The sequence below is a fragment of the Homo sapiens genome, chromosome 14, assembly GCF_000001405.40.
Source record: "Homo sapiens chromosome 14, GRCh38.p14 Primary Assembly".
Taxonomy (NCBI): domain Eukaryota; kingdom Metazoa; phylum Chordata; class Mammalia; order Primates; family Hominidae; genus Homo; species Homo sapiens.
In genome coordinates this window covers 100,861,571-100,878,410 of record NC_000014.9, presented here as the reverse complement: position 1 = coordinate 100,878,410, position 16,840 = coordinate 100,861,571, and the positions used below count along the sequence as shown (strand labels likewise).

Genomic DNA, 16,840 nt, shown 5'->3' with positions numbered 1-16,840 from the left:
CCTGGCCTTCACCCACCATCCACCTGTCTGAAGAATCTACCCCTGATAGCAGCACCAGGAGATCATGGTCAGGATCTCCAGGTTCAAAGGCAGGGGCTACACCTCTGGGCTTCTCTCTCCCTCCACTGGCTGGCTGCAGGAAGGCCTCTCCCAGCCTCAGTTTCCTCATCTGTCACTCCAACCCACCAAGGCTGCTGTGAGGATTCAGAGTTAGGAATAAACTGCTGGGCACAGCTGGCACTCAGAGCTCCCAGCCCCATCCACAGACTTCTCATGTCAATTTCCCAAGGTAAACTTGGGGAAATCAAGGCCCAGAACCGGCTGCAGAGGAGCTGAGGACAGAGCCAGGATGGAGGCCCCTTCCTGGTGGCTGATCTTTGTCCTCTCACCTGGGCCACTTCACCCACTCTGCCTCCAGTCACAAGGCCCAGCAATGACCTCCACAACAACCAACATCACAGCAGCTCCAGGAGCTCAAGGGCACCATGTCTGTCTGTCCGTTCACCTAGCACTCTGCCTCTGATGGCAGCCCAAGACAGGCTGCCATGGGTTAAGGCCAGGGGCTCAGCTGCAAGAGGTGCAGATCCCCTTTAGTGACCTGGCCCCAGAAGGCCCCAACTTTGACTTGCTGGGTGACCTCAGGTAGTGGCTGTCCATCTTCCAGCCTGTTTTCCCATCATCAAATGGGGGATGTAGTGAGAGGGAGGGTCATTTCCAGAATAACCAGACCCAGTCTCCAAGGGCCGCTGGCTCCTAAAACCCCCTCTGTTCCCAGATGACATTCTTCTTGGGGCTCCCAAGTCCCTTGAAGTAAACTACCTTGGGATAGAGCCTGGGGTCATAATGGAGGGTCCCTAGATCAGGTCTCCTGAAGGCCACCCCTGGGGGGTCCCAGAGGCTGGATTTTAATGGCAAATCTCTGTCCCTGCTTGGTAAGGGCTCCTTGGGTAAATGTGGGGTGGATTGGCAGTCCCCGTGTCCCTGCAGCCAGGACCGTCGACGACCGCCATCCTTTCCTCCTGGCCATCAAAGATGGAGGGGCAAGGCCGGGTGCAGTGGCTCACGCCTGTAATCCCAACACTTTGGGAGGCCGAGGCAGATGGATCACCTGAGATCAGGAGCTCGAGACCAGCCTGACCAACATGGAGAAACCCCGTCTCTACTAAATAACAAAAAATTAGCTGGGTATGGTGGCGCATGCCTATAATCCCAGCTACTCAGGAGGCTGAGGCAGAGAATCGTTTGAACCTGGGAGGCGGAGGTTGCGATGAGCTGAGATCGCGCCACTGCACTCCAGCCTGTGCAACAAGAGTGAAACTCCGTCTCAAGAAAAAAAAAAAAAAAAGGTGGAGGGATGAACAGGACTACCTTGCAGGGTAAGGCCAAACAGAGAATTTACCAGCAGTAATCACCCGTGCCCCACAGTGGGGGAATCCAGACACGCGCTAAGGTAAGCGTATTTATCCACAGTTCACACACACACACACATATTGACTGGGGGCTCCCGGTGCTAGAGTGGCCACGGCCCCCCACACCAGCAGACAGTGAGGACCTCGCCTCCTTGGCTCCCCTGCCCCATCCAGCCACAGCAGGTTTAGTTTACAGAGAAGAGCGGCAGCCCCCAGGCCCAGAGGAGAACTACTGATAAAGTGATACAACGGACTCTGGGGACTCCAGGAAAAGGGTGGGAGGGGGTGAGGGATAAAAGTACAAACTGGGTTCAGTGTGTACTGCTCAGGTGATGGGTGCACGAGAATCTCACAAATCACCACCAAGGAACTTACTCATGTAACCAAACACCACCTGTTCCCCAAAACCTATGGAAATAAAAAATTCAAAAGAAAAATAATACAAACCTTTTTTTCTCCTGGGGAAAGAAAAAGGAAGGTTAATGTTAAATGTCATGCTGGGTTATGACATCATGGCCACCACAAAAAAAGGTGAAAACTCCTCTGAACAGCAGACAGCACAGCCTGGCGCGGACACTGGCACACAGGCCCACGGGACCTGGCGGGCCACAACTAAATGCACCCATCTTCCACCTTCTCTGTCCACCCCCAGGTCACTGATGTCAGGGGATGGAGGGAGCCCTGAGCTCCACTCCTGCTGAGTCTTGTCCATCAACCTCCCTTCCCGACCCAGCCCACCCCCATGAGATGCCCAACGTGCCAGCCTCCAGCCCTGGTGCACACAGGGCCAGTTTCTGGAACACTCAACAGCACACCACCCAGGCAGCTGAGGGCTACTCACCGCTCGGGTCCGGACTCGCTCATCCCTCCTGCAGGCGGCCCCAGGTCCAGTTAGGGCCTTGGACTCAGGCCCCCGTGCCAGGAGCTTGACCAGCTCTTAACAATCTGCCCAGGGCAGAGACGTGAGGTCCCCTCCTGCCCACCTGGTGACCCCGGTTGCTCCCAAAGTGAAAAAGAGAAAGACAACAAATAGAAGCCATCACCCCCACTCCCAAGCTCCACCCACCCGCTCAGAGCCCTGCTGCGGGGACGACAAGACCCTTGTCATGCCCCAAGCCCATGAGCACTGACCTCAGACCCAAACAGTAAGCCTCGTCCAGACCCCTGTCCACCTGTCTGAGATCAACAAAGACAAGCATACCCATCCTGACACCACAGAAGCTGAGGGGTAGACCAGGAAGGGAGCGGGTGCATGGGGGAAGCGGGGGTGAGGAAGGGGAGACGGGAGGTGGGAAGGAAGGGCAGGGGAGAGGGTGCTCCCTCCTGCAGGAAGGGAGGGGGTGCATTGGGGAGGAGGGGTGAGAAAGGGAAGATGGGAGGTGAGTGGGAAGGGCAGAGGTGAGGGTGCTCCCTCCTACAGGAAGAAGGGGTGCATGGGGAAGGAGGGGTGAGGAAGGGGAGATGGGATGTAAGTGGGAAGGGCAGAGGTGAGGATGCTCCCTCCTGCACCCTCTTGTCCTCTCTAATGGCCTCAGCTACTGCAAGGCCTCTCTCCCCACACTGGCTGCCCTGCTGCCCCGATGCTCATGCCTGGGCTGGCTGTCGTGGCTTGTTAATGGGGTTAATGATGCCAATATCACAGGGCTTGGTGCGGGTCACCTCTGCCATGCACAGGACCTGAGTTAGTCAGAGAGGCAGAAGACAGAGGTCCAAGAACCAGGGGCCACGGCCGTGCCCCCTGCTCATGTTGCCATTGGGCACCCTCAGGTACCCAGCCTGAGCAGGGTACGCACAGGGGAAGAAGGGAGCCCAGCTGACAGCTTCTGGGGACCCAGAGTTGGGAATCCTTGGGGAGAGGGGAAATGTCTCCAGAACAGGTTTAAGGAGAGAGTAAGAAGCCGCCTGTGAGGGGCCTCAGCCTCCTGGTCATGAAAGAGTCCTGGGTAGAGGCAGAGACCCCTCGAGGAGACCCTCCTCTTGGGGCACAGAAAGGGCCAGCCCTGGTCCGCCAAAGCCCCACCCCCTCCACCCTGGGCACAAAGGGGCACCATCTCTCCAACGTCTGTCCATCCATCCTGTGGGCCGGGTCCCTTTGGAGGGCTCTGTGTGGGAGCACAGCCCCAGCCCCTCAGTGGGAGAAGCCCCAGGGCTACCCAACTCCCCCTCCGGCCTATCTGCCCTTGGCTGTGGAGTCAGCCCAGGGGGTGTCCCACCAGGGGCATAGTTCCCTGCCAAGGAGGGGCCTCAGAGATGGCCCAGCCCCAGGCCCTCCCCTCCAGGAAGTCAGAGAGCTGCAGAAGAGAGAGAGAAGAGCCCAAGGAGCATGCCGGGAAGAGGCTGGCAGGACAGCAGCGGACTTGAGGACGCGTCCCCGTGCAGCCAAGGGTGCAGAGGAGGGTCCGGGGGCTGCGCGTGGTTGAAGGGGATGAAGAAAGGCATCATATAGGAGCTGGATAACTGTGCATCAACTCCTGTATGAAGCCGTTCCCACCCCCCAACTACTGACTACGGGCCGCAACCCTCCTCCCGGAAGCGCAGTGCAAGCGCTCGGATGGCAGAGGGGACGCCTGCTGCTAGTGGTTAGAGCAGTGACAGCAAGGGACAGCCAGCCTAGGCAGTGCCACCCACTGCTGGGCACCTGCAGCGCTGGGGTACCTGTCCACCCTGCCCAGCCTTGCCCTACCTGCCTCCTATGGCCAGGGCCTGGGCCTCCCTTAGCCCCACAGAGCCCCCAGGTGACTGTGCAGCCAGGCCAAGGGACGGAGGATGGGGAGGTGAAGGGGGAGACAGGCCTGATTCTGGCCCAGGTCTGTGAGTGGACATCGGGGACTCGACCCCACCCACCCACTGCTTTGACTCCCTGGTACTTCTCCAGCCTTGCCTTCTACATCTGTGAAATGGGTTGCAACAGGCACCTCTGGGGACCCAGTGAGGACTCATGAAGTCCAGGGGCACTTCAAGAATTTCCCAGAGACAGAAAGTAGATTTTTGGTTGCTGAGGGCTGGGGGGTGTGCATGGAGGGTGAAGGTGACAGCTGAAGGCTCTGGAGTTCTTTTGGGGGTGATGAAAATGATCTTAAATTGATTATGGTGATAGTTGCAGATATCTGTGAATAACTAAAACACACTTCGCTGTGAGCTTTAATGGGCGGATTGTGTGTATGTGGATTACATCTCAATAAAGTTGTACCCCAAAACACCTTCCTTTGTTCTTTGACATCTTTCTCAACCACCATACTGCCTGCCTCGTCCTACACTCTCCAGCCATCCACACCACCAACACACATGCACAGGGACACGCAGCCAGGCACGTGGTAGGTGGTGCAAAAATATCTGTGAGTAAATGACCTGATAATATAACATTCTCTGAAAGAGCCCATGGAGGGAAACCTTTAGGGAAAGGGGTTAAAGATTAAGAAGTAGGGGTGGCAGGAGGGTATGGAGGTGGGAAAGAGGCTCAGAGTGACACATGAATGGAAAAGGGGCTCAGATTGACAGACACATGGAGGGAGGAGGGGCTCCCTGTAACACATGGGTGGAGGAGGGGGCTGGTGTGACACACGGGTGGGGGAAGAGCTCCATGGGACACATGGGTGGAGGAGGGGGTTGGTGTGACCCATGGGTGGAGGAGGGGGCTGGTGTGACACATGGGTGGGGGGGGTTAGTGTGACACATGGGTGGAGGAGGGGGCTGGTGTGACACACGGGTGGGGGAAGAGCTCCATGTGACGCATGGGTGGAGAGGGGGTTGGTGTGACACATCAGTGGAGAGAGGGTTGGTGTGACACATGGGTGTGGAGAGGGGCTCCATGTCACATAAGTAAGGGAGGGGCTCAGGGCAATGCATGAGTGGGGGGAAGGTCTCTGGGTGATGCATGGGAAGGGGAGGACTTCAAGTGACATGTGAGAGAAGCTCAGGTGACACATTAGTAGGGAAAAGGCTCCTCATGACACATGAGTGAAGGAGAGGTGGAATGTGAGACAGAAAAGGGGCTCAGTGTGACGTGTGTGGGAAGAGAGTCTCTGTGTGACATATGGGGGGAAGGGACTTGGAGTAACACAAGAAAGGCGACTTGGTGTGACACGTGGGTGGGAAGAGTCTCTCTGTGACATATGGGGGCAGGGACTTGGAGTAACACAAGAAAGAGGACTTGATGTGACACGTGGGTGGGGGAAGATCTCACGGGACACAAGGTTGGGAAGAGATGCCCAGTGAGACACAAGGGTGCAGGGAGGGCTCCGCGTGTCAGAAGGAGTCCATGCAATACATCAGTGGAGGAGGAGCTCAGTACGACACGGGGTGGGAGAGCGGCTCAGTGTTATACATGCATGAGGTGAGGGGTCCATTCGACAAACGGGCAGGGGGTGCTGTGTGCCTTGTGAGTAGAGGAGGAGCTTCATGTGACATATGAGCAGGAAAGAACTCGGTGTAACACATGGACAGGGACAGGGGCTCCAGGTGACACATGAGTCAGGGAAGGGCTCTGAGTAACACATGTTGAAGAGAAACTCAATGTGATACATGGATGGGGAGAGGCATTCTGTATGACTTATGAGTGTGGGGAGAGACTACATGTGTGACACATGATTAGAGGAGGAACTTAGAGTGCAGCTGAATGGGTGGGGCTCCTAGTGACACACACGCAGAGGACAGGGTCAGAGTGACACCTAAGTGGTGGAAGGAGCTCAGTGTGCTACAAGAGTGGGAGAGGGGCGTCCTGTGACACATTAGTGGGGCTTGCTGTGACACCCTTAAGAAAGATAGAACATTCAGTGTGATACAAGTAGATGAGAAATTATTTGTGTCACATGGGTGGAGGCTCCATGTGACATATGAGTGGAGGAGGTGTCGAACATGACACAAGGATGGAGGAGGAGGGGCTCCATGGGACACCTGGGAGGGAGGAGGAGCTGAGGATGACACATGGAAGGAGAAATGGCTCCATGGAACAGGAGGTGGAAGGAGGTGCTGAGTATGACACATAGGAAGAGGAGGGGCTCCATGGGACACCCTGGAGGAAGGAGGTGCTGAAAATGACACGTGGGAAGAGGAGGGACTCCATGGGACACACGGAAGGGATAGGAAGCTGAGGATGACACATGGGAAGAGGCGGGGGCTCCATGGGACACACAGGAAGGAGGAGGAGCTGAGGATGACACATGGCAGGAGGAGGAGCTCCATGGGACACAAGGATGGAGAAGGCGCTCAATATGGCACATGAGATAAGAAGGGGGTTCCATGGGGCACACAGGTGAAGGAGTGTCTGAGGATGACACATGGGGGGAGGAGGAGCCCCATGGGACACTCACGAGGGAGGAGGAGCTCTGAGGATGACACATAGGAGGAGGAGGAGCTCAGGATGAACCCCAGGTGGAGGAAGAGAGCTCCGTGGGACACACGGGTGGATGAGGTGCTGAGGAGGAACCCTGGGTGAAAGAGGGTTCCATGGGACAAAGCGGAGAAAGGAGGTTCTCAGGATGACTCAAGGGAGGCGACAGGACCTCTCTGTGACACATGATGTAGGAGTGACTCAGTGTGGCACATGAGGGTGGAACTGTGTGACACGAGTGCAGATGGAACTCAGTGGGACACAGAGATTTGGTGTGTCACATGGATTGGGGACGGTTCAAGTGGTACATTGGGGAGGGACAAAAGGCTCCAAGTGACACTGAGTAGTCAGGGCTGGAAGTGACACACGGGGGTGTCTCATGTGACACATGACTCGAGGAGGAGCCTAGTGTGACACGTCTGTGTGGGGCGGGGTCAGAGTGATGGGGGAGGAGGCGCTTCTGGCGATGCATGTGGAAGAGGCTCCACGTGACACTTGAGGCTGGGACACTTTTCAGCCTTGTGAACATCTAATGAAGCAAGCCCCTCCCAGGTGAATGATGGGTGTCCTGAGCTGAAGGTGGAGACCCAGTAGGCCTGCCTCATCTCGGTAGACCCAGAAGCATATCTACATGCCACCAATTCTAATTCTGAACGAGATAAAACATGCAGGTAAACAATTCTAAACATTTTTCAGAAGTTTCTCCAGCAAAAGTAACATTTCCTTAGCAAACATGGGACATCTTTAAAGACCACAGAGGCCCCCGAATACTGAGTGTGCTCTAGTCCTTAAAGGGAGGTGACCCTGAGGACCTCAGAGTCCACTGTTTTGTCCCTGGGAGTCCACATCCCTTCACCCCAGGGCATCACAGGTTCTTCCTAGACACCAGAGGGCCCCAGATTCTGGCTTTCCAACACCTAAAAACTTCCAAAATAGATATTTCACAACAAACACTTCACACACAAAAAAGAAAACATTAAAATCAACTGACAAAATAATTCCCATCTTCAATCACCATCATTTTAGAGCAAAACGTACATCGTTAACAATCCAATGACACCCACCAACGCGGGCAGCACAGAGGCTGACCAGCAGACTAGGTGGCAGAGTTCAGGTGCCAAAAGGCTCCTGGGGCGCAGGAATCTTGCCAAGGACTTGGGAGTGAGGACCTTGGGAGCAATCTAGGGACCCCTGAACTCCGGCAGCCATTACTGAGATGACCCATGGGGAATAGAGAGGGGACATGCAATCTCTCCCTCCAGGCTCCACACAGCAGGACCTCAGCTGAGCCCGCACTTCCTCCCCCTGCCCACCACCCCAGCTGATCCCGCCCTTCTGGAAACCAGCTCACCCTCCTCTGCACTCATGCCCACACCCACGCCCCCACCCCCAGCCCTGGCCCAGGCTCTCCTGCCATCCACCGGTGACACATGACTCGAGGAGGAGCCTAGTGTGACACGTCTGTGTGGGGCGGGGTCAGAGTGATGGGGGAGGAGGCGCTTCTGGCGATGCATGTGGAAGAGGCTCCACGTGACACTTGAGGCTGGGACACTTTTCAGCCTTGTGAACATCTAATGAAGCAAGCCCCTCCCAGGTGAATGATGGGTGTCCTGAGCTGAAGGTGGAGACCCAGTAGGCCTGCCTCATCTCGGTAGACCCAGAAGCATATCTACATGCCACCAATTCTAATTCTGAACGAGATAAAACATGCAGGTAAACAATTCTAAACATTTTTCAGAAGTTCCTCCAGCAAAAGTAACATTTCCTTAGCAAACATGGGACATCTTTAAAGACCACAGAGGCCCCCGAATACTGAGTGTGCTCTAGTCCCTAAAGGGAGGTGACCCTGAGGACCTCAGAGTCCACTGTTTTGTCCCTGGGAGTCCACATCCCTTCACCCCAGGGCATCACAGGTTCTTCCTAGACACCAGAGGGCCCCAGATTCTGGCTTTCCAACACCTAAAAACTTCCAAAATAGATATTTCACAACAAACACTTCACACACAAAAAAGAAAACATTAAAATCAACTGACAAAATAATTCCCATCTTCAATCACCATCATTTTAGAGCAAAACGTACATCGTTAACAATCCAATGACACCCACCAACGCGGGCAGCACAGAGGCTGACCAGCAGACTAGGTGGCAGAGTTCAGGTGCCAAAAGGCTCCTGGGGCGCAGGAATCTTGCCAAGGACTTGGGAGTGAGGACCTTGGGAGCAATCTAGGGACCCCTGAACTCCGGCAGCCATTACTGAGATGACCCATGGGGAATAGAGAGGGGACATGCAATCTCTCCCTCCAGGCTCCACACAGCAGGACCTCAGCTGAGCCCGCACTTCCTCCCCCTGCCCACCACCCCAGCTGATCCCGCCCTTCTGGAAACCAGCTCACCCTCCTCTGCACTCATGCCCACACCCACGCCCCCACCCCCAGCCCTGGCCCAGGCTCTCCTGCCATCCACCGGCTGGCGTGCGTCTCCCCGAGGCGTGCACTCACAAGGGCAACGTCCATCTACACGATGCCTGGCACAGGGCCTGGCACACAGTAGACCTTCACCGAATGTGCAAACGAATGAATGAAAGCCTACCATGTACAAAGCCCTGGAGGCCAGAATGAGCCCCGAAGCGAGGATGATGGAGGTGAGGCGGGTGATGGAGGCTGGAATGGCCAGAGATGAGATGCTGTGCCCAGGATGACAGAGGCCAGATGGAGGTGATGGGAGCCGTGATGATGGAGTCCATGGTAACAGACATGCATGAGATGGACCCCCCCCAAAGACGAGAGGGAGAGGAGGAAGCCAGGGCCCAAGAGCTGGGCCTGGAAACCTCTGAGGGTCAAGGTGGGACATGAAGCAGGAGCCTTTCCTGTCCAGACCAGCGTTCAGCTCGACGCCCCACCACCCACCCCACGCACTTGCATTCACAGAAAATCGACCCTGTGTGATCCTCAGAGAATAATCAGTGAGCCCGAGAGCCCTGCCAGTGAGGAGTGGGACGTGCCCTGGAACAGGGGGCAGCAGACATTTCTGCTTACAGACCCCATGAAGGGATTTTGGAAAGCCACGGATCTCCCCCTCCCATAGCCCATTTTTAAATGGGCCGTAAAAGTTAATAGGAAGTTTACAAAGTTGCAATGAGGTGGCCTCTGGCATATACTATAGCATATAGATGTGACAAATGCTAGGTATGGAGCACTTGTCAAAACCTCAGAGGTCTGGAATCAGCTCATTTTGATTTGTCCACTCTGAACCTCACTGGCAAACCAATCGGGCAAAACAGACTTTTTCAGAAAAAGCCTGATGTCATTTTGGGAACCCCTCAATTCAAATCAGTGTGTAAATATGCAGTGCAAAGGCAAACATTTCCCCCCTGGATTCGGAACCTCAGGTAGATGCATCACCTGGATGCCAAGGAGGGTGGGGCACCGTGGGTATGACGAGAACTCACCTGGAGGCTGGGTGGAGGGTGCAGCATCTGGCCAGAGGGCATGGCGGGCACAGGCGTCGTCCGGGCCCAAGGCCCTGTCCAGAGCGTGATGCAGTAGCCGAGGCCTGGGAGGCCCCATCTGGTCCTGAGGTTCCCCAGCCAGTGCCACAGAGCAGCAGAAGCCCCATGCAGTGGCTGGGGGAGCTGAGGGGCTAGGCACAGGACCCAGCCTGCCCCTTGCTCAACCCATTGTCTTGGGAGCTGCCTTGGAAGCTGGAGACTAGGGGGTGGGGGTGGGGGGGATGGCCAGAACCCCAGACAAGGGGGCAGGGGTTAAGGGGTGGGCAACGGGGGTGGGTTCCACTCCAGGACACAGGAGGGAGAGCCGGTGAGAGGACGGTGTCTGCAGCTCATGGGAGCACAGTACCCCCAACCTTGGCCTCAGCCCAGGTCTCACTCCAGCTGCTTTGCCAAGAAGAGGCAGGGGGGGAGGTGGAGAAGGATGGAGAAGAGGAGGGGTTCAAGGGCCAAGACTCTCACTCTTCTGTCCACTGAGGCAGACCTGGACACAAAGACGGACTGATGGGCAAAGCCACAGGGGATATAGGCATGGGTGACTCCGGGAAGCAGGTCTGGGGGCAGGATGTGGATGTGGCATCGGCACCCAGGGTGCTGTAGGCTCAGGGACAGATCCACTGTCGCCCACTCCCAGTCGCTCTCCACCATCTGTCTCCCACGCATGCACATACACACAAGCATAGAGCTGCATACGCATGCACTGGCAGGCACACGCACCCACACACGTGCACACCGGGCATGCTCACACACTCATAGGCTCACGAAGGCACACACAGGCTCATGGAGGCACACACACCCACACACATGCACACAGCTACCCGCTCCCAGGCCAGGGGCCCCTGTGCTCTGAGCCCTCCCATAACAGGAGCCCGGCACATACATCTGAGCCTAACCCAGAGCTAATGGGCATAGGAGCCCATTCGCCCCACACTAGAGGGTGCACACCTAGGGCTGGGGACTGTGCAGGAGCAGGGGTGAATGGAGGACACTAGCCCCACTGCCAGGAGTCCCAAGTTGCAGAAACCCTCCGGAGGCAGCACTTCTGCAGGAGCACCGGGCTGCATGGAGGCTTTTGGCTAAGGGCTGGCCCTTAGAGGCTCACAGCCAATTCTAAATGAAGGGCAAGAGAGGCAGATCCCCACCTGGGTGACTAACCCCAGGTCCCAGGAGGTCAGGTCTGGAGTTTACAGGGTCTTTCCTCCTAGCATATGGCCCTGTGATTCTGGGGGAGGAGGGCCTCCAGCCATAGCATCTCAGGAAGAGCCCCGCCTCCTGGTCCCAGGAAGGGAATCCCAGTCCCCCTGTAGACACTCGAGAATCCCTGGGAGAGCCTCTACCCGCTCTGAGCCCAGGGTCAGTACCTCTGACATGGGGGTACTAACCAGCACCCAGGCCACAGACAGGCATCTCCAATCACTCCTTCCACCATCAGCCAACACCAGGCAAACATATAAAGTGCTTTGTAAAGTGCAGGTATATAGGTAATGTTTCAGAACACCCTACCAGCGCCCACCCCAGCCCACCCCCTTGCAAGCCCAGCCTTCAGTCCACCTCTGCTTGAAAAGCAAGGGCCCCGTGCATGCCCCCATGGAGTGCTGCCTGCACCCAACCCTGCGAATCTGCCTTGCTGCTCATCTACCCCACGACAGCATCACCCCAGTGAGCCAGCCAGTGCATGCTCTATAAAAGCCAGCTGAGCTGAACTAAGCTGACACCAAAAACCCACCCTCCCAGGGCAATTGGGGGTCCGAGGCGCTCTGCCCAGAAGGCCCTGGCTGCTGATAGGCAGCTGTAGGTCCGTGGGCTGCCTGGGAAGCCACAGCTATCCCATGGTGCTCATCAGTGTCTCCATGGGGTGGGGGCGGGGCTCCCCCTCCTTTGCTGATTAATCCAGTAATATCTGGATTGAATTTGGCAGGACTCTCTGGACCAGCTGGTCACTGTCCTGCACTCCCCTGCCCTGCCCACCCCATCCTGTCAACCCACCTCCACCCACCCAGGCCGTTCATGAGCCCGGCCTCTGCAGAGGGCATCATCTGCTGCGATTCGGACTGGCTTCACTGCCCTCGAGGGCCAGGTTGGATTTCCATTCCAGTCACACGAAATGCCGCACGGCATTGTTGGGTATGGAGGCGGGGGCGGAGTCCGAAGTGTCTTCTGAGAAGTAGGGGGTCACAATCAGAAGCATAACCTCCTGCTGGCTGGTGGGCACGTGAAAACAGCTCTGCACTGAAGGGGAGCTTGAGGAAAAGCTTTCAGAGCCCCGCCTGCCTCTGTCCCACAGCAGCTACCGGTGAGGATAAGAGGGGAAAATTACAGTCATCTCAAAGAAAATTGCAGCCCAAGGCATCTCCATTCCCTGATTCCTCTACAAGCTGAGCTGGGAGTGTCAGGGAAATTGGGAGCCCAGTTCAGCCCCTCTTGGGAAGCAAGAAAGCCATGATTTTCCTCTCCCCGGTAATTGCCCACTTCCCTGCGATGGACTCACTTTGCCAAGTGGCCACCACTCAGGAAGCTCACCATACCTCAGGGACAGTCACCCAGAGCCCACAGCCTGGCTCAAGCCATGGCCCACGGAAGCCAGATAGCAACACAGAAGCCTGGAGAACATCCCTCTGATGGGCAGAAGGACAAAGGGAGTGATGGAGAAACAGGCTCTGAGGAGTGAGTCTGAGACAGGCTGTGGCTGCCGGCAGGGGAGGGCCCACAGTCATCTCAAGGCTCGTCTTTGCCACGGGGCTCTGCCTGGCCATCTAGACCTTCTGTTCTGTCCTCATTTTCCCTAACGCAGCTCTACTTCTGAGTCTTGCTCCCTGAGGCCAACGACTTTATAGAGTAGGATTCACATTTTCTTCACAGGCCTCACAAGCTGGGCTCACCCATTTTGCATTTGGCTTCAGAATCTGTTGTGGAGACTTCTAGGAAATCAGCAATGAGTGATTCTAATTGCTTGTTCTTGGAAATTTCCTAAAATAACTTGGCCAAATGAGGGTGGGGAGCGGGGAGGCAGTCCTCTAAGATGACATTTCTCCTTCATGCAATCCCAACTCTCGAGTTCCAGTTACTCATCAAAGAAGTTCTTGTTTGCACAGTTCCAAGTTCTAATGAGTTTCTAGGAAATATCACCAGAATGATGTGGCATCATTAGGGCGTGTTTTTCAAGAATGCTTGTTAGCTGCTCCCTTTTCCTCCAGACTCCAGCTGAATGAAGTAAGTCGTCCTCTAGGATCCATTCTCATAGCTGTGTCTGAATGGCAAAACTGGTGAGATAAGATTCTCTCCCATTCTGGATATTGCAGAGCTCAAACATCCCAAATAGCATTCAGCGCTCTCTCCTCCCCAAGTCTACATTTTTCGTCCCTTGGATTCTATCTACCTGTAATGCTCTTATGGCTTCTGAGCAAGTCAGTATTCCTGGCCTATTTCTTTACTTGCCATCTCTCTCCAGCTTAATGGACAGTCTGGTGTCAATGGAGCTCCTGGAGGGCAAGTGGTAGAGTCAAGGTGCTCAGGGCAGGGCTGCAGCCCCAAATGCAGCTTCACCTGAGACATTAGCATCCATATCCCCACGTATTTGGGGGCCTCCTTTGCCGTTCATGCTGTCTTCACACCCATTGCGATAGCCTGGCCCTGCCCCAGTCCTAACCTAGATGAACTTCCATTGCTAGAAGGAGGCAACCAGATCTGACTCGCCCCAAGGTTGCAGCTTTACACTGGGCTGGCAAGTGGGGGTTTAGCACCTTCCACTGGGAGAGGAGCTAAGCCGCAGAAACTAGCTTGGGTTACATTCCGGGGTCCAGCCAATTTGGCAGCCCTGTGGGTCAAGGCTGATGTGTGGCCAGCCATGAGTCCAGCAAAACTAAAAGGCATAAAACAGCGCTTTGCTGCGGTGTTACACGCCCTCAGGCAAGCTTCATCGAAGGCATCCCATCTGCAATCCATGATTTCTGCTGCCATGTTCTTCCTAATACGCTTCCTCCCACAAGGAGTCCCCTCTCCACATCTCTCCTGCAACTGGGACCCCTCTTTATGCCAGTGTCACTATTGAGAAATGTTGCAGGCCACCATTGCACAGAAGAGTGTTGTCTGCCCTCTCCAGTCTCAAGACAAACTTGGCCACACCTATCCCTGCCCAGGAAAGCCCAGAGGCTTGAGGTTTTCTCACCAGTTCTGGACACCTGGGTTTCCTCAGAGGCTAGATCTGGGTTCCAGCTCTAGAACATCAAGGGGGTCCCTCTTTCTGGACATCTGGGCTTTGTCAGAGGTTGGAGCTGGGTCTTGGCTCTGGAACATAAAGGAAGTCCCCCTTTCTGAATATCTGAGCTTCATCAGAGGCTGGAGCTGGAGTTCTGGCTCTAGAATTTCAAGAAAGTCCTTCTTTCTGGACATCTGAGCTTCATTAGAGGCTAGGGCTAGAGTCCGGGTTCGAGAACATCAAGGAAACTCTTCTTTTTGGACATCTGAGCTTTGTCAGAGGTTGGAGCTGAGTCCCAGCCCTAGAACATCAAGGAAGTCCCTCTTTCTGCACATCTGAGCTTCATCAAAAACTAAAGCTAAAGTCCTAGCTTTGGAACATCACGGAGGTCCCTCAGCTCTGGAACATCAAGGAGACCCCTCTTTCTGGAAATCTGGGCTTTGTCAGATGTTGGAACTGGGTCCCAGCCCTAGAACATCAAAGAGGTCCCTCTTTCTGGACATCTGCGCTTCTTCGAAAGCTAGAGCTGAAGTCCTGGCTGAAGAGGGACATCAAGGAGGTCCCTCTTCCTGTACACTTGATCTTTATCAAATGATAGAGGTGTTATCTTGGCTTTGGAACATCAAAGAGGCACTTCTTTCTGGACACTTGAGCTTTGTTAAGTGCTACAGCTGGGTCTTGGCTCTAGAACATCAAGGACGTCCTTCATTCTGAACATCCGAGCTTTATCGGAGGCTGGAGCTGGAGTCCTGGCTCTAAAACATCAAGGTAGTCCCTCTTTCTGGACATCTGAGCTTCACTGGAGGCTGGAACTGGAGTCCTGGCTCTAGAACATCAAGGAGGTCCCTCTTTCTGGACCTCTGAGCTTCTTCAGACACTGGATCTGGAATCCTGGCTCTAGAACATCAAGGTCTCTCTTTCTGGACATCTCAGCATCATCGGATGCTGGATCTGGAGTCCTGGCTCTAGAAAATCAAGGAGGTCCCTCTTTCTGGATATCTGAGCATCAGACACTGGATCTGGAGTCCCGGCTCTAGAATATCAAGGAGGTCCCTGTTTCTGAATATCTGAGCATCAGATGCTGGATCTGGAGTCTTGGCTCTAGAACATTAAGCAGGTTCCTCTTTCTAGACCTCTGAGCATCACCTGATGCTAGATCTGGAGTCCTGGCTCTAGAACATCAAGGAGGTCCCTCTTTCTGAACATCTGGGTTTCATTGGAGGCTGGAACTGAGTCTTAGCTCTGGGACGTCAAAAGTTGGGTGGCTCATTCTGAATGCCCAAGGTTCAACAGAGGCTGGAGCTGGGGTCTTGGCTCTGGAACATCAGTGGGTGGCTTGCTCTGGACACCTGAGCTTCATCAAAGGCTGATACTCTGCTCACCACACAGGACTCTCCTGGACTCTCAGCCTGGTCTTGGCTGAGCACAGACTGACTCATCTAGGTGGGGTGCACTCTGAAGGCCATCTCCTCCTCTTCTCACTGCTGACTCAGCGCCATCCATGTCACCATCTCCATCAGGGGCTGGGGTCAGGTCTCCTTTGCCAGGTCATGGCCATGATCCCCAAGGCGGTTGTTTCTCTCAGCAAAGGGGCCATGCTCAGTCCTGTGCACTTACGGCTGGACTTGCCTGCAGTTCTCTTGAGGTACCTCCCTGTGAGGGAGAGGAGGAGGAGAAGCAGGAGGAGGAGGAGAAAGAAGGAGAAGAAAAAGAGAGAGGGGGAGGGGGAGGAGGGAGAAACAAATGAAAGGAAGGAAGGAGGAGGACAAAAAGGAAGAAGAGGGAGAAAGAGGAGGAGGAGGGAGAAGGAAAGGAAAAAGGAAGGAGGAAAAGGAAGAGGAGAAGAAGGCAGGAAAGGAAGGCGAAGAGGGAGAAAGAGGGGGAGGGAGAAGGAGGAAGGAGAAAGAAGAAGAGGAAGGAAGAGGAGGAAGAAGGAGGAGGAGGAAGAGGAAGAAGAGAAGGTGGGAGGAAGAGGAGGAGGAAGAGGAGGAGGAAGAGGAGGGAGGAGGAGACGGAAGGAAAAGAGGGAGGAAGAGGAGGAAGAAGAGGAGGAGGAGGAGAGCAAGGAGAAGAGGGAGGAGGTGGCAGTGGCAGTGGCGGCCATGGTTGTGATGGTGGTGGTAGTGGCAGTGGCAGTGGCGGCCGTGGTAGCTGTGATGGCCGTGGTGGCTGTGGCAGCAAAAGCAGTCGGTCTCTCCTTCCCCATAGGGAGCATGTCCTTATGATCCGCTGCAGCAAAGCCAGGTGTGCAGACTCAGGATCCGTCTTGACTTGGGTCTAGTGCCCTTTGGCCCCTTGCCCCTCAGTGCCCCCGCTCAGCCCAGCCACAAGCTGCTCACAGAAAGCCACTCTGAGGGGTGCAAGGCTCACCTCCCCAGCTCAGCCGGCATTGCTGCCGCGGG

The 16,840-nt window shown here is 55.3% G+C and overlaps 3 non-coding genes across 3 annotated transcripts, besides 3 other annotated features; all 3 read right to left on the bottom strand.

Annotated features, from left to right (window-relative positions):
- Positions 1,006-1,216: a silencer, noted in NCBI's record as "fragment chr14:101343532-101343742 (GRCh37/hg19 assembly coordinates)". NCBI's record gives its function as "represses an EF-1alpha promoter that drives an FKBP-Casp9 reporter gene in an ReSE screen in HepG2 liver carcinoma cells {active_cell/tissue: HepG2}" and the evidence as "EXISTENCE:reporter gene assay evidence [ECO:0000049][PMID:32094911]".
- MIR665 (microRNA 665) lies at positions 3,307-3,378 on the bottom strand. Its single transcript, NR_030617.1, has one exon. It is a non-coding gene; the product is annotated as a microRNA 665 (primary transcript).
- On the bottom strand, positions 3,826-3,918 carry MIR337 (microRNA 337). The gene has a single exon (NR_029889.1). It is a non-coding gene; the product is annotated as a microRNA 337 (primary transcript).
- Positions 4,570-4,739: an enhancer, noted in NCBI's record as "experimental_33586 CRE fragment used in MPRA reporter constructs". NCBI's record gives its function as "activates a minimal promoter by MPRAs in K562 erythroleukemia cells, with activity observed for the non-introgressed 14:101340094 variant allele {active_cell/tissue: K562}" and the evidence as "EXISTENCE:reporter gene assay evidence [ECO:0000049][PMID:34662402]".
- On the bottom strand, positions 9,263-9,351 carry MIR493 (microRNA 493). Its single transcript, NR_030172.1, has one exon. It is a non-coding gene; the product is annotated as a microRNA 493 (primary transcript).
- Positions 10,703-10,872: an enhancer, noted in NCBI's record as "experimental_33583 CRE fragment used in MPRA reporter constructs". NCBI's record gives its function as "activates a minimal promoter by MPRAs in K562 erythroleukemia cells, with activity observed for the introgressed 14:101333961 variant allele {active_cell/tissue: K562}" and the evidence as "EXISTENCE:reporter gene assay evidence [ECO:0000049][PMID:34662402]".